The sequence below is a fragment of the Homo sapiens genome, chromosome 10, assembly GCF_000001405.40.
Source record: "Homo sapiens chromosome 10, GRCh38.p14 Primary Assembly".
In the NCBI taxonomy this organism is placed as follows: domain Eukaryota; kingdom Metazoa; phylum Chordata; class Mammalia; order Primates; family Hominidae; genus Homo; species Homo sapiens.
Window position 1 is genome coordinate 12,110,700 of NC_000010.11, and position 24,437 is coordinate 12,135,136.

The following is a 24,437-nucleotide window of genomic DNA, read 5'->3' on the forward strand; positions in this document are numbered from 1 at the left end:
AACTACAGTTACCATCCTGTACAGTAGATCTCCAGAACTTATTCAAGGGAGGAAAGTTGGCCTAGCATGGTGGCTCACACCTGTAATCCCAGCACTTTGGGAGGCCAAGGTGGGTGGATATCTTGCTCAGGAGTTTGAGACCAGCCTGGGCAACATGGTGAGACCCCATTTCTGCTAAAAATAAAACTAAAAAAATTAGCTGGGTGGGTGGTGGTGCGTGCCCATAATCCTCACTACTTGGGAGGCTGAGGTGGGAGGATCACTTGAGCCTGGGAGGCGGAGGTTGTAGTGAGCTGAGGTTGCACCACTGCATTCCAGCCTGGGCAAGAGAGCCAGACCCTGTCTCAAAAAAAAAAAAAAAAAAAGGGAGGAACATCAACTTAACTCTTTTGAGGAGTATTGCTGTAAATAGAACAAGAAAATGAGACAGTAGCTGGTGGGAAAATTTGTGTCAAGAGTTCCTTTTGTGTTTTCTTTTATTTTTGTGATGGCGTCTTGCTCTGTCACCCAGGCTGTAGTGCAATGCTGCAGTCTTGGCTCTCTGCAACCTCTGCCTCCCAGGTTCAAGCAATTCTCCTGCCTCAGCCTCCCGAGTAGCTGGGATTATAGGCTTGTGCCACGATGCCCGGCTAATTTTTGTATTTTTAGTAGAGATGGGGTTTCACCATGTTGACCAGGCTGCTCTTGAACCCCTGACCTCATGTGATCCTCCCACCTTGGCCTCCCAAAGTGCTAGGATTTCAGGCATGGGCCACCGCGCCAGGCCTTTGTTTTGTGTTAAAGGTAGGAAATAAGGCCTGTTTGGTGATAGGCATGATCCAGTAGACAAGAAGAGAATGGTGATGTAGGGGTGCTGATAGAATAACTGAGTGATTTCCTTGCATTGGTAAAATGGGGTGGGCTCTAGTACATGATGGATTAAATTAGCTTTAGACAGCAGCATGGTTGGTGGCAATAAATGGAAGGCAGAGAAGATGAGTGCAAGTGAGAATGTGTGTGTAGATGGTCTGAGGACATGCTGTTAGGTCATTAGCTGAGAGTGGTGATGCAGGAGGAGGTCCTGAGTTTAAAGGTGTGAATTAGTCACCTGGGAAAGAAGGAGAATGAGTGAGTTAGGGAAATAGAGTTTAAGAGTCTAAGGTCACTAAGGGCCCATCTCAGACTGTTGGTCAGGATTCTAAAGTAAGACCATTGGTGTGATTTTGTGTTGTCTCCAGCTACTTTCTCTGCAGACATGGAACAGGCAGAAAGTGGGGATTAACTAGGTTTATGGGTTGGAGTGAAGGGTCATGGGAATCAAGGGTGTATGCAAAAAGAAGATGATCATGATTGAGGCCAGGCATGGTGGCTCATGCCTGTAATCCCAGCACTTTGGGTGGCTGAGGCGGGAGGATCGCTTGAACCCAGGAGTTTGAGACCAGCCTGGGCATCATAACAAGACCCCATCTCTACAAAAATATTAAAATTAGTCAGGTGTGGTAGCAGGCACCTGTAGTCCCAGCTACTTGGGAGGCTCTGGTGGGAGGATTGCTTTTGAGTCCAGAGTTTGGGGTTACAGTGTGCTATGATCATGCCACTGAACTCCAGCCTGGGTGAGAGAACGAGACTCTGTAACAACAACAAAAATAATTGTCCAGATTTTGTCAACTCTCTTTCTTTCCTTTCACTGCCTTTGGGGAAGGGTTAGGAGTTATGCCTCAGCTTTCTGTCCCACCAGGATCTTCTGAGATTTAACTTCCTTGCCCTCAATTTTTCAACCTTTCTATTAGCTGCTTTTGATTTTTGTCTTAAAGCACGCGTGCACACACACACACACACACACACACACACAATCGTTTTATTACATTAGGAAAGTGAGATTCTGATAGTGCTTCCTTCCCCTGTCTTAACCCTGTAGTAATCAGAATATGTATTTTTTTTAAAAAAGTCCTTTCCAGATTATCTTTGCTATCAGCCGTGTTTGGGAACAATTGTGTTAGATGACACAGAATTGGGCCAGTGGAGAAAGCCATCAGAGCTCTCCTTTGGTTAATACCGCACCGTTCATAAATTCACCTGCTGATATTTTTCTGTAATGTTGGGCAATAGCTTTTCTGCTATAATCAAGAACACCTGTGTTTCCCTTTGGCCAGCCCATTGTCACTACGACTGAAATAGATGATCTGAACATTCTTCTCCTTTCTTGCCACTTCTCTCCCAGATGTGTGACAGTGCGGAAGAGGGGGTGGACGGAGACACTGTGAACATGTTTGTGGTTCACCCAACAACTCCTGCACAGTATTTCCACTTGCTTAGGAGACAGATGGTCCGGAACTTCAGAAAACCACTCATTGTTGCTTCCCCTAAGATGTTACTCAGGCTCCCGGTAAGCAGAAGGTGGTGAATAAGCCTTCCTCCTTTTGTCATTTTTTGCACTCCATTTTTCCCTATTTTCCATATCTAATTATATTTAAATTACAGAAACACCTTTTTAGTTTCAACTGACTTTGCTACTTTCATTTTTTTTGTTGTTTTTTGAGACGCAGTCTTGCTCTGTCGCCCAGGCTGGAGTGCAATGGTGCAATCTCGGCCCGTTGCAACCTCTGACTCCTGGGTTTAAGCGATTCTCCCGCCTCAGCCTCCCAAGTAGCTGAGATTACAGGCATGTGCCACCACACCCAGCTAATTTTTGTATTTTTAGTAGAGATGGGGTTTCGCCATCTTGGCCAGACTAGTCTCTAACTCTTGACCTCAGGTGATTCGCCCGCCTCGGCCTCCCAAAGTGCTGGGATTGCAGGCGTGAGTCACCACACCCAGCCTGCTTTCATTTTTTAAACAGCCTTTTAAGACTACCTGGAAAGATAGGTAGGTTTTCTGTCAATTGTAATGAAGGACAGGGATAGCAGATGTTATACTAGTGCCCTCCTGAGCAGAAATACTATTTAGAAAAGCTTTTAGGCTATTAGGCTGGGCATGGTGGCTCATGCCTATAATTCCAGGACTTTGGGAGGCCTAGGCAAGAGGATTGCTTGAGCCCAGGAGTTTGAGAGCAACCTGGGCAACATTGCAAGACCCCATCTCTGAAAAAAAAAATTGGCCGGTGTGGTGGCTCACACCTGTGCTGTCAGCTGCTCAGGAGGCTGAGATGGGAGCATCTTTTGAGCCCTGGAGTTCAAGGCTGCAGTGACGTATGACCATGCCACTACACTCCAGCCTGGGCAACACAGCAAGACATTGTCTGAAAAAGAAAAGAAAAAGTTTTAAAGCCCATATGGTCTAAGCACTATTTTTTTTGATAGCAGCAATTTGGGAATTCAAAGTATTTTGTTGAAAATGAGTGGCATTATTTGTCATTCTTTTTTTTTTTTTTCTTTTTGAGATGGAGTCTTGTGCTGTTGCCCAGGCTAGAGTGCAGTGGCGTGAAATTTATCATTTTATCATTTAACACATACGTAGGTTTACCTATTTATCTGTTAAGTGTACATTGTTTTTCAAATCACAAAAATATGCTAGTTTCCAAATAGAAATGTTCAAAATAATAAATACTACTAAGCATATATTTATCCCATCTGCTATACTTTTTTCAGGTTCATATGAGTTTTAATTAGAATTAGTATTAAATTTTTTTTTTTTTTTGAGACGGAGTCTCACTCTATCACCCAGGCTGGATTGCAGTGGTGCTGTCTCAGCTCACTGCAACCTCCAACTCCCGGGTTCAAGCGATTCTCCTGCCTCAGCCTCCTGAGTAGCTGGGATTATAGGCACTCGCCACCATGCCTGGCTAATTTTTGTATTTTTAGTAGAGATGGGGTTTTACTGTGTTGGACAGGTGGTCTGGAACTCCTGGCCTCATGTGATCCACCTGCCTTGGCCTCCCGAAGTGCTGGGATTACAGGCATGAGCCACCGTGCCCGGCCGGGAGTATTACAGTTTTTACATTTATTTGGATATGACTGCTGAGGTGAAATAAGACGTTTAGAATTTGGCCATTCAAGAATATCTTGTGCTGCTCACAAAGGTTCGAGAGTGTATATTTGGAATTGAGGGGTACTGAAGAAAAGCTGCGAGTGATTTGCTTCCACCCCTTGGTTGGTTGGTTGGTTGGTTGGTTGGTTGGTTGGTTGGTTGGTTTTTTGAGACGGAGTCTCGCTCTGTCGCCCAGGCTGGAGTGCAGTGCTGCGATCTCGGCTCACTGCAAGCTCCGCCTCCCGGGTTCAGGCCATTCTCCTGCCTCAGCCTCCTGAGTAGTTGGGACCACAGGCGCCTGCCACCACGACCTGCTAATTTTTTGTATTTTTAGTGGAGACAGGGTTTCACTGTGTTAGCCAGGATGGTCTCGATCTCCTGACCTCGTGATCCGCCCGCCTCGGCCTCCCAAAGTGCTGGGATTACAGGCATGAGCCACCGCTCCCGGCCTGTTTGAACAGTTTCTTGAGATGGAGTGTCGCTCTGTTGCCCAGGCTGGAGTGGAGAGCGCGATCTTGGCTCGCTCGCTGCAAACTCCGCCTCCCAGGCTCAAGCAATTCTCCAGCCTCAGCCTCCCCAGTAGCTGGGATTACAGGCTTGTACCACCATGCTCAGCTAATTTTTGTATTTTTAGTAGAGACAGAGTTTCATCATGTTGGCCAGGCTGGTCTCGAACTCCTGGCCTCAAGTGATTGGGCTGACTCGGCCTCCCAAAATGCTGGGATTATAGGTGTGAGCCACTATGCCTGGCCTCGTTGTTTTAAGCAGTTTTTAGCATTCAGAGGGGAGTAGGGAGGTACTCATTCTCAGGGGCGATATTTTCATGGCCCTAAAATCAGTGCCTCCTTAAACTTTTTGCACTAGGTACCTTACTTGACTCACCCTAGCCTGGCCCTGGGAGTCAGTATCTAGTCAATAGCCAGGAAATGGATTTCAGTAGTCTTACCAATAGCAGCCATTCATTTTTAGTTCACTTATAGTGGTCTACCGGTTCTTTCTCACCCAGTGTTTCGCAAACAACCTTATATATTTCTAGGTGACCTCATAAGCCTGGAAGCATCACCAAACATTTAGGAAGAGTTAATGCAATGCCTTTAGCACCATTTTTCTGATGGGGCTCTTTTTTTTCTTTTTTTTGTTATTTTGAGAGTCTCGCTTTGTTGCCTAGGCTGGCATGCAGCGGCATAATCTTAGCTCACTGCAACCTTTGCCTACTGAGTTCAAGCAAGGCCTCAGCCTCCGACGTAGCTGGGACTATTAGGTGTGTGCCACCACACCCAGCAATTTTTTTTTTTTTTTTTTTTGAGACAGAGTTTTGCTCTGTCACCCAGGCTGGAGTGCAATGGCACAATATCAGCTCACTGCAACCTCCATTTCCTGGGTTCAAGCAATTCTCCTGCCTCAGCCTCCCAAGTAGCTGGGATTACAGGCATGCACCACCATGCCTGGCTCATTTTTGTATTTTTAATAGAGACGAGGTTTCGCCATGTGGGCCAGGCTGGTCTCAAACTCCTGGCCTCAAGCAATATGCCTGCCTCGGCCTCCCAAAGTGCTGGGATTACAGGCATGAGCCACCACGTCTGGCCTGATTCTTAAAATTATGTCGTGGCACCAGGCAAAAGGTAATCTTTTCTTAAATTCATTTTTTAATTTTTATTGTCATCCTTGTGCAGGGGCCATGCTAATCTTCTCTGCAGTGTTCTAATTTTAGTATATGTGCTGCCAAAATGAGCACAGAAGGCAATCTTTTTACTTTTTTTTTTTCTTGAGATGGAGTTTCCTGTTACCCAGGCTATAGTGCAATGGTGTGATCTCAGCCCACTGCAACCTCCGGCTCCCAGGTTCAAGCAATTCTTGTGTCTCACTCTCCCCAGTAGCTGGGATTACAGGCATGCACCACCACGCCCAGCTAACTTTTATAATTTTAGTAGAGACGGGGTTTCACCATGTTGGCCAGGCTGGTCTTGAACTCCTGATATCAGGCAATCTGTCCACCTCTGCCTCCCAAAGTGCTGGGATTATAGGCATGAGCCACCGCGCCCAGTCTTTTTCTTTTCTTTTTTTTTTTTTGAGACAAGGTCTGGCTCTGTCACCCAGGCTGGAGTGCAGTGGCATGATCATGGCTCATTGCAACTTCCGCCTCCCAAGCTCAAACTTCTAGCCTCCCACCTCATCCTCCTGAGTAGCTGGGACTACAGGCATGCGCTACCACACCTGGCCAATTTTTGTATTTTTTTGTAGAGATGGGGTTTCACCATCTTGCCTAGGCTGGTCTCAAACTTGTGAGTTCAAGCAATCCACCTGCCTCAGCCTCCCAAAGTTCTAGGATCACAGGCTGGAGCCACTGCAACTGGCCAGTTTTGGTTTGTTTTGTTTCGGATGAGGTCTTGCTCTGTTGCCCAGGCTGGAGTGCAATGGTGCGATTTCAGCTCACTGCACCCTCTGCCTTCTGGGTTCAAGCAATTCTCCCGCCTCAGCCTCCTGAGTAGCTGGGATTACAGACACCCGCCATCATGCCCAGCTAATTTTTGTATTTTTATATTTTTGTAGAGATGGGATTTCACCATGTTGGCCAGGCTGGTCTCAAACTCCTGACCTCAGGTGATCCGCCCACCTTGGCCTCCCAAAGTGCTGGGATTACAGGCATGAGCCACGGCACCTTTTTTTTTTTTTTTTTTTTTTTTAATAGAGGCAAGGCACCAGTGGGGATGGTGGAGTAGGGGGTGCAAAGGGAGTCTCGCTATGTTGCCCAGGCGGGTCTTGAACTGGCCTCCAGCGATCCTCCTGCCTTGGCCTCCCAAAGTGTTAAGATTCCAAAAGGCTATCTTATGTAACCTCAGAAACATAGTTTTACCCTGAAGTATACAGAACTGATATTTTTTGGCAAGGCATTGCGTCTATTAGGACATGGGTCTCCTTGCAGTGCTAGGCTAGAACTTTGGTACTCGTGTTTGATAGCGGCCCTTGTAAGTGACAGCATCACCTCTTTCTGTTGCTTGCTGGATGTGTGGCCTCTTCTCCCTCGTAGGCAGCCGTGTCAACTCTTCAAGAAATGGCACCAGGAACAACATTTAACCCGGTCATTGGTGATTCATCTGTGGATCCAAAAAAGTAAGATATGTATCTCTGTTTTCATATTCTGTGGCAGAATTTTAATTAATGGGAAAAGTAGTTCACATTAAGAGATCACAGGTGATGCAGATCTCCCCTCTCCTATTTTTATTTATTTATTTATTTATTTATTTATTTATTTATTTATTTTTGAGACTGAGTCTGGCTCTATTGCCCAGGCTGGAGGGCAGTGGTGCAATCTCAGCTCTATGCAACCTCCGCCTCCCGGATTCAAGTGATTCTTGTGCTTCAGCCTCCCAAGTAGCTGGGATTACAGGTGCCCGCCACCACACCCTGCTAATTTTTTTATTTTTAGTAGAGATGGGGTTTCACCATGTTGGCCAGGCTGGTCTCGAACTCCTGACCTCAGGTTATCCACCCACCTCAGCCTCTGAAAGTGCTGGGATTGCAGGCGTGAGCCACCATGCCTGGCCTCCTCTATCCTAAGTCCTTTAAGTCAGTGGAGTATGAGTTAAGTGTGGGTGGGAAAGTGGACTTTGTAGGCGCATGTTGCTGAAGAAGGGTCCCCAGGAATAGCCTGTGACTGAACTCGGCTGCAGAGACCCCCACCACCTTGTTCATGAGGACTTTAAATCTGCACTGTCTCCCGTTTCTTCTGACATAATTCTCTTTTTTTTTTTTTTTGAGGTTGAGTCTTGCTCTGTCGCCCAGGCTGGAGTGCAGTGGCACGATCTTGGCTCACTGCAAGCTCCGCCTCCCGGGTTCACGCCATTCTCCTGCCTTAGCCTCCCGAGTAGCTGGGACTACAGGTGCCCGCCAGTACGCCCGGCTAATTTTTTGTATTTTTAGTAGAGACAGGGTTTCACCGTGTTAGCCAGGATGGTCTTGATTTCCTGACCTCGTGATCCGCCCGCCTTGGCCTCCCAAAGTGCTGAGATTACAGGCGTGAGCTACTGCACCTGGCCTCTTCTGACGTAATTCTTACTTTAAAAAATTTCTCCCCCACCCTATTGTTCCTTTTCTGTCCAACAGGGTTAAGACCCTCGTGTTCTGCTCCGGCAAACATTTCTACTCCCTGGTGAAACAAAGAGAATCTCTGGGGGCCAAGAAGCATGACTTTGCCATCATCCGAGTAGAGGAACTCTGCCCCTTCCCGTTGGATTCTTTACAGCAAGAGATGAGCAAATACAAACATGTTAAAGGTAAGAGGTTGTTCTCATTTGGGTTTTGATGTTCAGATACCCAAAACCCATTTCAGCTCTTTTAAATGAAAAGATGTGGTGGGGGTTATTAGAAAATTGAATCTTGGGCCGGGCGCGGTGGCTCACACCTGTAATCCTGGCACTTTGGGAAGCTGAGGTGGGTGGATCACAAGGTCAGGAGATTGAGACCATCCTGGCTAACACGGTGAACCCCCGTCTCTACTAAAAGTACAAAAAATTAGCCGGGCGTGGTGGCGGGCGCCTGTAGTCCCAGCTCCTTGGGAGCCTGAGGCAGAAGAATTGCTTGAACCTGGGAGACGGAGGTTGCAGTGAGCCGAGATTGTGCCACTGCACTCCAGCCTGGGCACAAGACTCTGTGTCAAAAAAAGACACAAAAACATGAAAATTTGGTACAGGCGGGGCGCGGTGCCTCACGCCTGTAGTCCCAGCACTTTGGGAGGCCGAGGTGGGCGGATCACGAGGTCAGGAGATCAAGACCATCCTGGCTAACACAGTGAAACCCCGTCTCTACTGAAAATACAAAAAAATTAGCCGGGCGTGGTGGCGGGCGCCTGTAGTCCCAGCTACTTGGGAGGCTGACGCAGGAGAATGGCGTGAACCCGGGAGGCGGAGCTTGCAGTGAGCCGAGATTGCGCTACTGCACTCCAGCCTGGGCGACAGAGCGAGACTCCGTCTCAAAAAAAAAAAAAAAAAAAAGAAAGAAAATTTGGTACATATATGGGGCCTGTCCGAGGGTCATGGGGGAGGAGGGAGAGCATCAGGCAGAACAGCTAATGGATGCTGGGTTAATACCTAGGTGATGGATGATCTGAGGAGCAAACCTCCGTGGCACACATTTACCTGCATAACAAACCTGCACATCCTGCATGTGTACCCCAGAACTTAAAAAAGAAAAAAGAAAATGCATTGAATACACCTAAACTACAAAACACAGCTTAGCCTAGCCTGCCTTAAACATGCTCAGAACACTCACATTAGCTTATCGTTGGGCACAATCATTTAACACAAAATCTATTACATTTCATAATGAAGTGTTGAATATCTCAGATAATTTATCGAATACTGTACCAACAGTGAAAAACAGAACTGTTGTATGGGTACTTGAAGTACAGTTTCTAGTGAATGTGAATCCCTTTCACACCATCGTAAAGTTGAAAACTCCATCGTAGGTGGGATCATAGTAAATTGGGGACCGTCTGCATGTGTCTACTTGAGGTGCTGAAAGAATTTCTTCTCTCATAGATCATATTTGGAGTCAGGAGGAACCTCAGAACATGGGTCCGTGGTCGTTTGTTTCTCCAAGGTTTGAAAAGCAGCTGGCCTGCAAGGTAATCACACGTTTTCTCTGGTAGTGTTTTGTGTTTTGTGTGCATGTTGTTTTTCTTTTCTTTCTTTCTTTCTTTTTTTTTTTTGAGACAGAGTCTCACTCTGTTGCCCAGGCTGGAGTGCAGTGGCGCAATCTCAGCTCACTGCAAGCTCCGCCCCCCGGGTTCACGCCATTCTCCTGCCTCAGCCTCCCAAGTAGCTGGGACTACAGGCGCCCGCCACCACACCCAGCTAAATTTTTTTTGTATTTTTAGTAGAGACGGGGTTTCACCATGTTAGCCAGGATAGTCTCAATCTCCTGACCTCGTGATCCGCCCACCTCGGCCTCCCAAAGCGCTGGGATTACAGGCATTGAGGCACGGAGCCCTGTCCCTCTAATCTCTTCTGCGTAACTCATTATTTGAAAGAGGTGATTTATGGTTAAACAAGCTAAGAGAAATACATGCACTGTCTTGTTGGAACTAAGCAGAGCTCTGATCTAGTCAAAATGTCATTTTATTTCTTCTCTGCTGCACTTATAGCTCCGTCTGGTGGGCCGGCCCCCTTTGCCAGTACCCGCTGTAGGAATTGGCACAGTTCACTTGCACCAGCATGAAGATATCCTCGCCAAGACCTTCGCTTGATGATGACTTTTGAAGAAACACTATTTCTCTTTAAGAAAATGGCCATTAAGGCCGGGTGGGGTGGCACATGCCTGTAATCCCAGCACTTTGGGAGGCCAAGGCTGGTGGATCACCTGAGGTCAGGAGTTCGAGACCAGCCTGGCCAACACGGTGAAACCCCGCCTCTACTAAAAATACAAAAAATAGCCGGGTGTGGTGGTGGGCACCTGTGATCCCAGCTTCCTGGGAGGCTGAGGCAAGAGAATCGCTTGAATCTGGGAGGCGGAGGTTGCAGTGAGCCAGGATCACACCATTGCTGTCCAGCCTGGGTGACAGAGCAAGACTGCGTTTCAAAAAAAAAAAAAAAAAAACCCATTAAAAGAGGCCTCCTTCCTCCACTCTCTCAACCCCTCTGTTGGGTAACATGAAAAGACTGTATTCCTCTAAGATGTTGGGATTGATATACGTGATTTAATCTGCAATAGGTGGAATAACCAGGGGAACTGGTTATGAATATGTGAATGCAACCAGCAAATTTATCCTTGAAGGTGTGATGGTAGAAATAGGAAAACAACAAAAGAAAAACAATAACAAAAAAAGAAAGTGTGATGGCTGGGTGCAGTGGCTCACGCCTGTAATCCCAGCACTTTGGGAGGCTTAGGCGGCTGGATCACCTGAGGTCAGGAGTTCAAGACCAGCCTGGTCAACGTGGTGAAACGCCGTTTCTACTAAAAATATGAAAATTAGTTGGGTGTGGTGGCATGCGCTTGTAGTCTCAGCTACTCCGGAGGCTGAGGCAGGAGAATTGCTTGAACCTGGAAGGCAGAGGTTGCAGTGAGCCGAAATGGCGCCACTGTACTCCAACCTGGGCGACAGAGCAAGACTCCATCTCATAAATTAAAAGGAAAGTATGATAGTGTTATGGATTTTAGCTCTGAGTGAGCTGGAAAACTAGGTCATTATCTAGATGATTTCAGACTTGACCCTAATTGACCATATATGACCAGGAAACACTTCTGAGTTTACAGCTCCGTGGAGATGACCTCAACACTGCCTCTTGATTTGTTTGATGCATGTCACTTTCATTAATTTTCCCCCTCCTTTTTGAAAGTCCTGTGGCAGTACTAATATTTTCATTTTATGTAATCTCTGGTGCTGCTTTCCAGTCACTGTATGAAGTGTCTCCCCAACACTAGCAAATCTAGGTCCTACTAAATACAAATCTCTGGGTGGATGATCTTCTAGTACTGTATTTTTAAATTAAGGAGTTTTAGTTATAATGAAATTGATTTGTAGTCTGTTTTGCCGTAAACTTGTTTTTCTTTAAATTGTTCTTACAGTGATATCTTACTATTTTTAACTGTCTGGGGTTTCTGATATGGGGATTTCAGCCCCTGGTTAATCAGTCTTGTCCCTACAAGTCCCTGATGCAGTATGTTTATTTGTGATGTTTAAAGAACATTTCTTGGCTGGGCGCTGCGGCTTGCGCCTGTAATCTCAGCACTTTGGGAGGCTGAGATGGGTGGATCACCTGAGGTTGGGAGTTCGAGACCAGCCTGACAAAACATAGTGAAACCCCGTCTCTACTAAAAATACAAAAATTAGCTGGGCGTGGTGGTGGGTGTCTGTAATCCCAGCTATTCGGGAGGCTGAGGCAGGAGAATCGCTTGAACCCAGGAGGTGGAGGTTGCAGTGAGCTGAGATCCTGCCACTGCACTCCAGTCTGGGTGACAGAGCAAGACTCCATCTCAAAAAATAAATAAATAGAAAGAGAGAGAGAGGAAAAAAAAAGAAAAGAACACTTCTTTATTTGAGGGACTTTCCCAACACCAGGTGCTTGGGGATTTCTTAGAGATCACCAACCGACTCCCTCACTGTGAAATTAAACCAAGTACTGGAAACGTAACTAAACAGCGAACCATGTAGCTTCACCTGACTCAGTGCTGGGGGCCTCTACCATCTACTGTGCTTGTGTCATGATGCTTTTTCTCTGAAGTGGTGTGGGAAGTACCAGGGGACTGGCAGAAGCCCAGGCCCTCTCTACTTTTACCAGCAACTGATCATGTCTTTCAGAATCCATGTACATATAGGCTGTTCTAGCCACAGTGGTAGATTTATGATTCACATCCGAAAGTGTGCCTTAGTTATCAATTTAACATTTCTCTAGTATTCATATCCCTTTTCTTACCATATACCTCAGTGTATCCTTCCTGTGTCAAGCCTTATAAATCATGTAATTTAGTGCCACTCATGTAAATCAGTAAAATCACAAAGGTCTATTTAATGAAAACGATTTACCAATGTTGTTTTTTTTTAACAAGAAAAAAAATAAAAGCACATTGTCATTTTTTTTCCTCAGGACTCCTGGACTTCTTGAATTAAAAGATTTCAAAAGTCTAAGCACAAAAATGAGATGGAAGATTAGATCTTTGTAAAAGGTTAGTTTAGGCTGGGCGTGGTAGCTCACGCCTGTAATCACAGCACTGTGGGAGGTCAAGATGGGTGCATCACCTGAGGTCAGGCATTCGAGACTAGCCTGGCCAACATGGCTAAACCCCGTCTCTTACTAAAAATATAAAAATTAGCAGGGCATGGTGGTGCATGCCTGTAATCCCAGCTACTTGGGAGGCTGAGGCAGGAGAATCACTTGATCTCGGGAGGCGGAGGTTGCAGTGAGCCGAGATTGCACCACTGTACTCCAGCCTGGGTGACAGAGCGGGACTCTGTCTCAAAAAATAAAAGGTTACTTTAAATCTCTCCGAATTTCTTTTGAGACAGAGTCTCACTTTGTCGCCCAGGCTGGAGTGGTGCGATCTCAGCTCACTGCAACCTCCACCTCCTGGGTTCAAAAGATTTTCCTGCCTCAGCCTCCCGAGTAGCTGGGACTACAGGTACGTGCCACAGCCAGTTTTTTGTATTTTTAGCAGAGATGGCGTTTCACCATGTTAGCTAGGATGGCCTTGATCTCCTGACCTCATGATCCGCCCACCTTGGCCTCCCAAAGTGCTGGGTTTACAGGCGTGAGCCACTGTGACTGGTGGATCTCTCCAAATTTCTAATTTTACACCTCACAGTCTGTTCATGGTTTCTTTTTATGTCTTCTCTAACTCGAGTCATGAAATGTGTCTTCTGTTGGCTTAACCTTTCTACTCTCAATCACTACTGCAACATGGATCAGCATTTTACATTCCCTTGCAGGGAGGGACCATTTGAGGAATTCCAAATCAAATACTCATTACTTTTTTTCCCTTAAAAATTTAGTAGGCCAGGCGTGGTGGCTCATGCTTGTAATCCCGGCACTTTGGGAGGCTAAGGTGGGCAGATCACCTGAGGTCAGGAGTTTGAGACCAGTGTGGCCAACCTGGTGAAAGCCTGTTTCTACTAAAAAATACAAAGATCAGCCAGGCGTTGTTGCGCATGCTTGTAGTCCCAGCTACTTGAGAGGCTGAGGCAGGAAATCACTTGAACTACTCCAGCATGGGCAACAGAGCAAGACTCCATCTCAAAAAAAAAAAAAAAAAGTGTAAAAGGGATAGTATTTTTATTGTCAACCAAGGAATTATTAAAAAATAATAAAATTTCAAAGGTAATATAGTCAGTCTAAAGATGTCTAAGCTTCATAGTATTTTTCCCAAATAGCATGTGTATGCAAGACACAGAAAAGCTAAGCAAAATAGTTATTATTCTCACTAAAAAATTTTTTATTTTACTAAGAATAATTTGTCATTTCAGACAAAACTAACATTTTTCCATGGTTGCTACTATTTCTACTTCTTGAATACCCAATTTAAGGTTTAGTCCTCATTGAACATTAAAATGGCATAGATAGATATAAATAATAGATATAAATAAGATACAAGTATAAAGTTACTAAGGTTTTCTTTTTTTCTTTTGAGACCAAATCTCGCTCTGTGGCCCAGGCTGGAGGGCAGTGGTGCGATCCTGGCTCACTGCAACCTCCGCCTTTCTAGTTCAAGTGATTCTGTGTCAGCGTTAGGCCGCTTTGGCCTCTTAAAGTGCTGAGATTACAGGCGTGAGCCACCACACCTGGCCCTTTTACAAAATTGAAGAAATGAAAGGGTTACCCCGCCCAAAAAAAAAAAAAAAAAGATTACACTGGAAGGAAGTCACAGATTAAGGATCAAGACTGTTGAGTCTTTAGGTTCCAAAAGCTTCACCTACATTTTTCTTATATGTATTTGGATATTAAAGAAAATAAGTTACATATACACCATGGAATATTATTCAGCCATTTAAAAAAAATAAAATCTTGTCATTTGTAGCAACATGGATGGAACTGGAAGTCATCATGTTACGTGAAGTAAGTCAAGCACAGAAAGACAAAACTTGGATATTCTCACTCACATGGGAGCTTAAAAAGTGGATTTTGGCCAGGCGCGGTAGCTCATGCCTGTAATCCCAGCCCCTTGGGAGGCCAAGGCGGGTGGATCACCTGAGCTCAGGAGTTTGAGACCAGCCTGGCCAAGAGGGTGAAACCCTGTCTCTACTAAAAATACAAAAAATTAGCCGGGCGTGGTAGCGGATGCCTGTAAATCCCAGCTACTGGGGAGGCTGAGGCAGGAGAATTGCTTGAACCCAGGAGGCAGAGGTTGCAGTGAGCTGAGATCATGCCATTTCACTCCAGCCAAGGTGACAAGAGCAAGACTCCATCTCAAAAAAAAAAAAAAAAAAGTGGATCTCATGAAGATAGAGAGTAGATCGGTGGTATCAGAGGTCGGGAGGGGAAGGGGTGGGGTGATGAAAAGAAGTAGATTAATGGGTACAAATATATGGTTGGATAGAAGAAATAAGACCTACTGTTAGATGGATCGGTAGGTGACCATAGTTTAATCAGTAGGTGACCATAGTTTACAATATCTACTATACATTGTGAAATAGCTAGAGGAGAATTCAAATGGTTCTATCATAAAGAAAAGACAAATATTTAAGGTGATGGATATCCCAAATACACCAATTTGATATTTACAAATTATATGAATGTATTAAATTATCACATGCACCTTGAAAGTATGTACATCTAGCATTCATCAATTAAAAAACCCCAAAAGCTCTTACTCTATAGAAATAGTAATTCATTGTCATTTTATTTAAATCTGATAAAGCACAATCTAAAGCAGACTCCTTTCCTCACTGCTAATTGCAATTTTATTTATTTATTTATTTATTTAGAGACGGAGTCTCACTCTGTCCCCCAGGCTGGAGTGCACTGGCACGATTACGGCTCACTGCAGCCGCGAATTCCTGGGCTCAAGTGATCGTCCCATCTCAGCCTCCCAAGTAGCTAGAAGTAACGTGCCTGCCACTATGCCCTGCTAATTAAACAAATTTTTTTTCTTGTAGAGACGACGTCTTGCTATATTGCCCAGGCTGGTCACAAACTCCTGGCCTTAAATGATTTTCCCGCCTTGTCCTCCCAAAGTGCTGGGATTACAGGCATGAGCCACCACACCCAGTCTAATTTTTAAAAATTATTTAAGTCAGACCAGTGGCGTGTACCTGTAGTCCCAGCAACTCCAGAGGCTTAGGTGAGAAGATCCTTTGCGCCAAGGACTTTGAGGCTGCAGTGAGCTATGATCTCACCACTGCACTCCAGCTTGGGTGACAGAGTGAGATCCATACTGTGAAAAATAATAATACATAAAAAATTAAACAGGGCGCACAGTGGCCCATGCCTGTAATCCCAGCTCTTTGGGAGGATAAGGAAGGCAGAGTGCTTGAACTGGGGAGGCATAGGTTGCAATGAGCCGATACAGTGCCACTTCACTTCAGCCTGGGTGACAGAGTGAGACCCTGTCTCAAGAAAAAAAAAAAGTATTTATATTACTTTAGTGTCGTGTCCCTGTTTTCTTTGACTCATATGGGGATCCAGCTAAAATTGAACTGAACACCAGAAATGACCTTTTAAGAGTAAAATGGTATTTCATCAATAAATACTTTATTGGACATATAGTCCCTATATTACATTTTTATGGACCTTAGAAATACACAGAAGTAAAAGATAAAATGGGTTGCCCACTGTCCTCAATGGGCTAACAATCTATTTGAGAAGACAAAGCATTTAATACATAGAGACATTTTCTTGTTGGATGTGCTAAAACAATGAAAGATCAAGGAGGTAGACTTGAGAGTCTGGATGGATGTAGATTAGGTGGCACATTGCAGTTAAACAAGGAAAAGCCCTAGGTGGCATGGCATGTAGTGGTAGAAAGAATGGTGGAAGGGGCCAGGAGCAGTGGCTCATGTGTAATCCCAGCACTTTGGGAGGCTAAGGCAGGCAGATCACTTGAGGTCAGCAGTTCAAGACCAGCCTGGCCAACATGGTGAAACCCCGTCTCTACTAAAAATACAAACTTAGCCAGGCAGGGTGGCATGTGCCTGTAATCTGAGCTGCTCAGGAGGCTGAGGCATGAGAATCACTGGAACCTGGGAGGTGGAGGTTGCAGTGAGTTGAGATTGGCCACTGCACTCCAGCCCAGTGACAGAGCGAGACTCTGTCTCAAAGAGAAAAAAAAGAATGGTGGAAGGGTAATTCACAAAGTTTATCCAGAGTGTCAAAGCTCATTCCCAGGCTCTTGAACCATGGAACTATCCCAGAAATAGGCAGTAAAAAGAGGCACAGGATACTCTTCACCTTCTGTGATATTTTCAATTTAGTGCATCTTCCCCCTGCCCCCCCCCACCCCCCGCCGCTTGCTGGAGTACAGTGGTGCGATCTGAGCTCACTGCAACGTCTACCTCCAGGGCTCAAGCCAGCCTCCTGAGGCCTCCTGAAAAGCTGGGAAAACAGGCGCAAACCACCATGCCCGGCTGATTTTTGTTTTTTTTACCTTTCATAGAGACGTGGTCTCACTGTGTTGCCCAGGCTGGAATTTAGTGCATCTTTATTGAAAGGATATTGCATTCATGAAATTAGCTCATAATTGAGTGTCAAAACTGCACTTAAGTCAATCATTTTGTAGGCTATTGTACATAGTAGAAAAAGTAAGAACGACCACTCTATCTAGAAGTTTACTGCATATCAGGGGAGATTAGGCAAGTATAAAAATGACTAATACAAAGTAGAGTGAGGTAAGGATGAATTAACAGGATGGGAGATTATTACTGTGGCAGATTGGATTTTCCAAAAATTCCCACAGCGGTATTTTGAATCCCACATGTTCTTCCAGAATCTTGCCACAATCTCCCCTAGAGGTGGTGTCCCTAGGACTTGTGGCTGCCCCTACAGACACAATGCAGTAAAAGATGCTGGTTCAGTTCTGAGGACATCCCTTGGACCCCAGCTGCCACGCTGTGAGGAAGCCCAGGCCGCTTGGAGAAGCCATCTGGAGGTGCTGGAGCTGACACCAGCACCCAATGCCAGACTGGGGAATGAGGGAGCCACCTGATCATTCCAGTCCCCAGCCCTGGGGCTGTCCCAGCTGACCTCAAGTACAGCAGAGACTCATGCAAGCTGGACCTAAATTGCACGCCCCCCTGAAATATATAATTTATTTCATGAACATAGATCTGAACATTAGAACAGATTATTGAGGCCGGTTTTGGTGGCCCATGCCTGTAATCCCAGCACTTGGGGAGGCTGAGACAGCTGGATTGCTTGAGCTCAGGAGTTCGAGACCAGCCTGGGCAACATAGCAAGACTCTATCTCTACAAAAAATACAAAAATTGGGTGAGTTTGGTGGCGGAAACCTGCTAGTCCCAGCTACTCGGGAGGCTGAGGTGGGCAGGTCGCTTGAGACTGGGAGTTCGAGGCAGCAGTGAGCTATGATTGTGTCACCGCACTCCATTCCAGCCTGAGCCACAGAGCAAGACCGGCTCTTAAAAAAAAAGAAAGAAAGAAAGAAAAAAGATAACAGTGGCTTCAGGAAAACTGTTCCACGGTAGGAGGCATACGATCCTGATCTCTGTATTTTGGAGAAGACGGAGGGGACTAGCTTACGTCGAGACAGAGGAGTTCATAACTATTAACTATACACAACGACGTGTCACAAATGTTTACAAACTTCCAAGAGATAACGATAAGAAGCGGCCGGGCGCGGTGGCTCACGCCTGTAATCCCAGCACTTTGGGAGGCCGAGGCGGGCGGATCACGAGGTCAGGAGATCGAGACCATCCTGGCTAACACGGTGAAACCCCGTCTCTACTAAAAATACAAAAAATTAGCCGGGCGTGGTGGCGGGCGCCTGTAGCCCCAGCTACTCGGGAGGCTGAGGCAGGAGAATGGCGTGAACCTACCTGGGAGGCGGAGTTTGCAATGAGCCGAGATAGCGCCACTGCACTCCAGCCTGGGCGACAGAGCGAGACTCTGTTTCAAAAAAAAAAAAAGAAGGAAGCAAAATACGATTGGTTCGGTCCCGTCCGCTCTCAGCGGCTCAGTCCCAGGCCTCGGGGCCAGAACCGTGTTCCCCGCGCTACTTGGGCGGCGCCGAGATCGCGGCCTCCCCGAAGGGTGCCCAGGAGGCCTGGGTCGGACGTGGGGCGCGAGGAAACGGCGGGTTTTCCACACTGAGCCGCGAAAGCCTGTAGACGACGAAGAACCCCGCAGCCTTGGCCTCTGCGCGGCTTCCACGCCCCACGGCTGCCCGCCCGAGCCCTGCCCCCAGGCGCGCCAGCCCCGCCTCCCGGGTCCCGGGTCCTGGGACCGGGCCCGCCCTGCCCCGGCGCCCGTGGTCACCATGGCAACGCAGCGGACGTCGGCCAACGGCCCGCCCTGGGGGCGGGGCTGGGCCGGTCGGGCGCGCGGGTCAGGTGGCGAAGGGCGGAGTCTGCGCGGGGTTGGGCGGAGCCTGCGCGGGGCCGGTAGGATCGCGTCGGGAGCCGGTACCGAGGCCCGAGCCGCGGGAGTCGAGCGAAGGCAGCGCCGAGGCCGCGGTTTCCCCCTGGGCCTCCCCAGCAGCAGCCATGGGCAGTGAGTAGCGGCGGCTGGAGCGGGGACTCTGGCTGGGAACGCAGGCCCCGCCTGGGCTGCGGGCGGTGGGGCTGGCGCTCGCTCGGAGTCGTGGGGGCCAGGGATGCGCGGGCCGCTCCGGGCCTCAGCGGAGGGCACGGGCCGGGGGCCTCCGCCGAGGCTCCCCTAGCCGTGCGAGGCCTTGCCCGGCGGGTACCGGGACCCGGAGGCCCGGGGTTTGCGTTTGATAGAGGGCGAGGATGGCGCTGGGAGGCCATTGGTTTTGGGGGCGGGGAGTTAGGGCACCGGGTGAACCTGGACCACTTTTTAATTTTTCAGGAGTTAAAGAAATCCCGTGTTTTTATTCCCTCGTCATCTTTCCTTGGCATGTTGCATTGAAGAAAGCTCCCCTAACTCGTTTAATTTTAAAAAAAGTGATGCATGGCGTGTGTTTTAGGGAGGAAAGGAGTGTGCATTGGTAACAGCGTTTTCCTTAAACTGTTCATTCTGTAGCGTTTACTGAAAACTGTAAGGTTTTATAAGCCTTAGGGACAAGGCCTTATGTTATAGGAATGTTTTTCAGGGCCCTCCCCGTAACACTCAACCCCACATATGTGCACGTAGCTACTTGCATAGCTGTGAAGATGTTCGTTGGATGATGGGTCGTGCATACCCAAGCAGGGCACCCATTGGCCAACTAGTGGACATTTGGGGGAAATTAGAAAGGAGTAGGAGAGACCCGTGGTAAAATTTTGCATCACAAGGATAGACAGGGGGCAGCCAAAAGCTTTGCTTGAACATGAATACCCCTTACAGATGATCATAAAGTGTCAAGAAATCTGAGAGTGGCTTGGATTGAGGTGGAGAGGAAAAGGGATGGAGAGGTTCTAGGAAGCCTCCTGATGTGATTGATACTTGTTTCGCGTTAGCAATGAATGCTTTCATAATTCAGATTTACTTTCCAGAAAATCCAAAATATTAGGTTGCTGCAAAAGTAATTGCGGTTTTCAATTACTTCTCAAAAACCGCAGTTACTTTTGCACCAACCTAATAGTACTTGGGTAACAAACATCTGCCCATGACAATTAGTTAATCCTTCTGTCAAACATCAGTGACTGGTGGGGCGCAGAGGCTCACGCCTGTAATCCCAGCACTTTGGGAGGCCGAGGAGGGCGGATCACCCGAGGTCAGGTGTTCGAGACCAGCCTGGCCAACATGATGAAACCCCATCTCTACTAAAAATATAAAAATCAGCCTGGTGTGGTGGTGGGCGCCAGTCATCCCAGCTCCCCAGGAGGCTGAGGCAGGAGAATCCCTTGAACCCGGGAGGTGGAGGTTGCAGTGAATGGAGATCATGCCACTGCACTTCAGCCTGGGCGATAGAGCGAAACTCCGTCTCGAAATAAACAAACATATATCGGTGACTGCCCATCATTTGTAGAGGCTTTTTTAAAAAAGATAATATAGTCAACTTTAGGCAACTACAGAAACGTAATCACTCACGTCAGCTTTAAGACAATTTTGGGATGTTGGTATATAGAATCCAGTGTCTGTAGGGGAAGAAAAGCCGCAGAGCCTAACTAATACCTAGCTGCGGCTTGTCTTTCTCCACATTGCAGACCCTTTGGCAAAGGACAGAAGCTTGAGAGATTGTCATTTTCACCCTCCAGTTCTCTGGCAGGACTTGACTTAAGCCGTGCCAGAAGACAGTGTCTATCCTTAAAGAACCTTGATTTATCTTACCTTTATATGTTATAAGAGTAGTCTGGGAAAACAATACTTTCTGATGAAATGTAATTGTTAATTCTCTGGGTTGATTATTTTACACAAGCAAGTACTTTTCTATTACCTGGGAGAGTAACTAGGCAATGAAATGTGGTCTGATGAAATCAAACAGAGATTACATACCTTTTTTTTTTTTTTTTTTTTTTTTTTTTGAGACGGTCTCTCTCTGCTGCCCAGGCTGGAGTGCAATGGCTCCATCCGGGCTTACTGCAAGCTCCCCCTCCTGGGGTCACGCCATTCTCCTGCCTCAGCCTCCTGGGGAGGGGGGACTACAGGGGCCCGCCACCACGCCCTGCTAATTTTTTTTTTTGTATTTTTAGTAGAGACGGGGGTTCACCATGTTGGCCAGGCTGGCCTTGAGCTCCTGACCTCAAGTGATCCGCCTTTCTCGGCCTCCCAAAGTGCTGGGATTACAGGCGTGAGCCAACAAGCCCGGCCTACATACTTTAAAAAGGTAACTACAGGGGCTGGGTACTGCTCACGCCTGTAATCCCAGCACTTTGGGAGGCCGAGACGGGCGGATCACGAGGTCAGGAGTTCGAGACTAGCCTGACCAACATGGTGAAACCCCGGCTCTACGAAAAATATAAAAATTAGCCAGGCATGGTACCGTGCGCCTGTAATCCCAGCTATATACGAGGCTGAGGCAGGAGAATCACTTGAACCCGGGGGGCGGAGGTTGCAGTGAGCCGAGATGGCGGCACTGCACTCCAGCCTGGACCACAGAGGGAGAATCCGTCTCAAAAAACAAAAACAAACCAGTTAACTATAGGGGCCAGGTGCCATGGTTCATGCCTGTAATCCCAGCACTTTGGAAGGCTGAGATGGGAGGATCGCTTGACGTTAGGAGTTTGAGACAAGCTTGGCCACCATGGTGAAATCCCATCTCTAGTAAAAATAAAAAAATTAGCTGGGCTTGGTGGCACTCGCCTGTAATCCTAGCTACTCGGGAGGCTGAGGCAGGAGAATCACTTGAACCTGGGAGGTGGAGGTTGCACTGAGCCGAGATCGTGCCGCTGAACTGCAGCCTGGGCAACACAGCGAGACTCTGTCTCAAAAAAAAAAAAAAAAAGTTAACTATAGGAGGTGATTCCATGATTTTTTTGTCACCTATGCATTTCGGCATCTTTCAGTTGTTTAAGGCAGTTCTCTACAGAAGAGCCCATTTGCCGTTGTGCTTCCTGAGTGCAGAAGGCACCCTCCTGTCTTCCTCCTCTGATACCTGCTTTCTTCTGTCATGCATTGTCTCACGGGTACCACGGTAGAGTACATTTGCTCCCTTTTGACGTCGTGATGCCCTTTGAACAGCCCCCTTTTTGTATATGTAAAATGATTGGATACAAGTGTGAGGAAGAAAGTATGATGCCCTTTGAACAGCCCCCTTTTTGTATATGTAAAATGATTGGATACAAGTGTGAGGAAGAAAGTTCTGGAAAAAGGTTGCTTGGATTGCTTCACTTCTACTGACCAGCCATCAAACCATTTGGACTTCTTTGTCCCTGGAATGATATCTCTTCCTTTACATATCATTTGAAATGGAGAACAGTATGATGATTTAATTTGGGGCTTAAGGGTGGGGTGAATTGCTGGTGAAAGAGAATCTTTGTATTTGATTTTCTAGAAAGACAGATCTTTTTTTAACTTCATAATAATAGGAACATTTATTATTTTTCTTTTTACAGTCAAATTTTTAGAAGTTATCAAACCATTCTGTGCAGTTCTACCAGAAATTCAGAAACCGGAAAGGAAAGTAAGTATAATATTTTAGTAATATAGAGGGTAGCTCAAGGGCTTGTTCTATGAAACCAGCAAAATTCATTTCCTTACCTCAGTCCTTCTCTGTTGGTAATTGGAAAACTATTGGTGTTCATCCTCCTTGCAAGAGGCACAAAGTGAATAAAAATAATATAAATCTGTTTAAATCTAGATAGGTTAACTCATGCTTTCAAAAATGACTGTTCTTTAAGTTGTGACATTTCCAAATTAAGTGTTTCTTCGGCCTATGTGTTAGTTAAGACAGGTTATTCTCCTGTCTGTAGTGATCCTTTATAAATCCTGTAGTATTGGGTGTGTATTGTGTTTGCTAATGATGTCACCTACTGGACTAGAAATAACCCAGTCTGCTCGATAGGTTTTGATGAGTACAGCTGTTTTATGTAAATGAATTGCATTTGCACAAATATATACCTCCCATTTCTTGATTCATTCGTTGGAAAGAAAAATGACAGGAATGCATTCAGAAGATATTGTGACTGGGTCAAATCGTTCTTCCATCATTGCAAACTTTCAGAGTTCAGGTATTTAAATTCTGGAAATATTGTTAATCCTAGATTGGCCAATTTCTAGAAATTCTTCATCAAACTACAAATTTCTCATCAAACTAACAGGAATAGGGACATAGAGATAGGTAAAAGAATTTTAAACTTACTATTTGATTTAGAAGTATTTATTTATTTATTTATTTTTGAGACGGAGTCTCGCTCTGTCCCCCAGGCTGGAGTGCAGTGGCGCCATCAAGGCTCACTGCAAGCTCCGCCTCCCGGGTTCACGCCATTCTCCTGCCTCAGCCTCCCGAGTAGCTGGGACTACAGGCGCCCACCACCATGCCCGGCTAATTTTTTTGTATTTTTAGTAGAGACGGGGTTTCACCGTGTTAGCCAGGATGGTCTCGATCTCCTGACCTTGTGATCTGCCCGCCTCAGCCTCCCAAAGTGCTGGGATTACAGGCGTGAGCCACCGCGCCCGGCTAGAAGTATTTTATTGCTTTGAGATTGTAAAAATAGTTGTTCCATTAACATTTAAGGCATCCTGAGAAACCCTGGCTTTGCAGTCTATAAAATATTCATATGGCACTGTCACCAGCAGGCCCACCTTCGCACAGTGCAGTGTTCACCGAATCGCGTGCACATTGGATCCCTGTTTTGCTTTGGCTCCTTTTCAGTTTCATTTAACACCGTACAATGCAGATGAGAACTGCCTGTATTTAAGTTACCTTTTTTATGAAAAGTAAAGAAACTTATATTTAGGAAGTTCAGCTGTTTGTTGTAGCTGCTACTGAGGTGAAAGGGACATTAGAAAACAATCTAGGCCCGGCACAGTGACTCACACCTGTAATCCCAGCACTTTGGGAGGCTGAGGCAGGTGCTCAAGAGATGGGGACCATCCTTGCCAACATGGTGAAGCCCCGACTCTACTAAAAATACAAAAAAATTAGCTGGGCGTGGTGGCGTGCGCCTGTAGTCCCAGCTTCTCGGGAGGCTGAGGCAGGAGAATCGCTTGAACCTGGGGTGGTAGAGGTTGCAGTGAGCCGAGACTGCGCCACTGCGCTGCAGCCTGGGCAACAGGGTGAGACTCTGTCTCAAAAAAAAAAAAAAGAAAAAAAGTCTACCTAGGATAGTACTTCAAAAAGGGGCATTTAAGAGTGAATAATAGGATGTCACGATGGGGAACTTTAGTTACGTTTTTGTGTGGATTTGTGCTTTAAATTTGCTGTTTCGAAAACCAAACACCACATGTTCTCACTCGTAAATGGGAGCTGAATAGTGAGAACACGTGGATACAGGGAGGGGGAACATCAC

General features: G+C 46.5%; 2 protein-coding genes, 1 non-coding gene and 1 pseudogene across 7 annotated transcripts in view, besides 6 other annotated features; 2 read left to right on the forward strand and 2 right to left on the reverse strand.

The window, feature by feature from the left end:
* DHTKD1 (dehydrogenase E1 and transketolase domain containing 1) overlaps positions 1–12,522 on the forward strand; it is a 54,268-nt gene extending 41,746 nt beyond the window's left edge. The window contains exons 13-17 of the mRNA NM_018706.7: positions 2,201–2,365; positions 6,974–7,056; positions 8,050–8,219; positions 9,483–9,568; positions 10,088–12,522. Of these exons, the coding sequence (NP_061176.4) occupies positions 2,201–2,365; positions 6,974–7,056; positions 8,050–8,219; positions 9,483–9,568; positions 10,088–10,189 (606 nt within the window). The 3' untranslated portion in view covers positions 10,190–12,522. The remainder of the gene's footprint in view (positions 1–2,200; positions 2,366–6,973; positions 7,057–8,049; positions 8,220–9,482; positions 9,569–10,087) is intronic.
* RNU6-88P (RNA, U6 small nuclear 88, pseudogene) lies at positions 5,581–5,680 on the reverse strand (annotated as a pseudogene).
* Positions 10,940–11,079: an enhancer, noted in NCBI's record as "active region_3034". NCBI's record gives its function as "activates an Ori minimal core promoter by ATAC-STARR-seq in GM12878 lymphoblastoid cells {active_cell/tissue: GM12878}" and the evidence as "EXISTENCE:reporter gene assay evidence [ECO:0000049][PMID:35858748]".
* Positions 11,140–11,189: an enhancer, noted in NCBI's record as "active region_3035". NCBI's record gives its function as "activates an Ori minimal core promoter by ATAC-STARR-seq in GM12878 lymphoblastoid cells {active_cell/tissue: GM12878}" and the evidence as "EXISTENCE:reporter gene assay evidence [ECO:0000049][PMID:35858748]".
* Positions 11,930–12,019: an enhancer, noted in NCBI's record as "active region_3036". NCBI's record gives its function as "activates an Ori minimal core promoter by ATAC-STARR-seq in GM12878 lymphoblastoid cells {active_cell/tissue: GM12878}" and the evidence as "EXISTENCE:reporter gene assay evidence [ECO:0000049][PMID:35858748]".
* Positions 17,903–18,782: an enhancer, noted in NCBI's record as "H3K27ac-H3K4me1 hESC enhancer chr10:12170601-12171480 (GRCh37/hg19 assembly coordinates)". NCBI's record gives its function as "activates a minimal SCP1, AML or CMV promoter by ChIP-STARR-seq in primed H9 embryonic stem cells {active_cell/tissue: H9 hESC(primed)}" and the evidence as "EXISTENCE:reporter gene assay evidence [ECO:0000049][PMID:30033119]".
* Positions 17,903–19,329: a biological region, named in NCBI's record as "H3K27ac-H3K4me1 hESC enhancer GRCh37_chr10:12170601-12171480".
* Positions 18,670–19,329: a silencer, noted in NCBI's record as "silent region_2138". NCBI's record gives its function as "represses an Ori minimal core promoter by ATAC-STARR-seq in GM12878 lymphoblastoid cells {active_cell/tissue: GM12878}" and the evidence as "EXISTENCE:reporter gene assay evidence [ECO:0000049][PMID:35858748]".
* Positions 18,942–24,437, forward strand: part of SEC61A2 (SEC61 translocon subunit alpha 2) — a 40,318-nt gene continuing 34,822 nt past the window's right edge. For 4 of the 5 annotated variants that reach the window (NR_024577.3, NR_024576.3, NM_001142627.3 and 1 more), the window contains exons 1-2: positions 18,978–19,095; positions 22,542–22,609. Coding sequence is in view for 3 of the 5 variants with exons in the window: in NM_001142627.3 (NP_001136099.1) it covers positions 19,089–19,095; positions 22,542–22,609 (75 nt within the window). In the remaining 2 variants the exon portion in view is untranslated. Of the gene's footprint in view, positions 19,096–22,541; positions 22,610–24,437 lie in introns of all 5 variants that reach the window. The other variant, NM_001142628.1, reaches the window with a different exon arrangement.
* MIR548AK (microRNA 548ak) lies at positions 20,061–20,117 on the reverse strand. Its single transcript, NR_039699.1, has one exon. It is a non-coding gene; the product is annotated as a microRNA 548ak (primary transcript).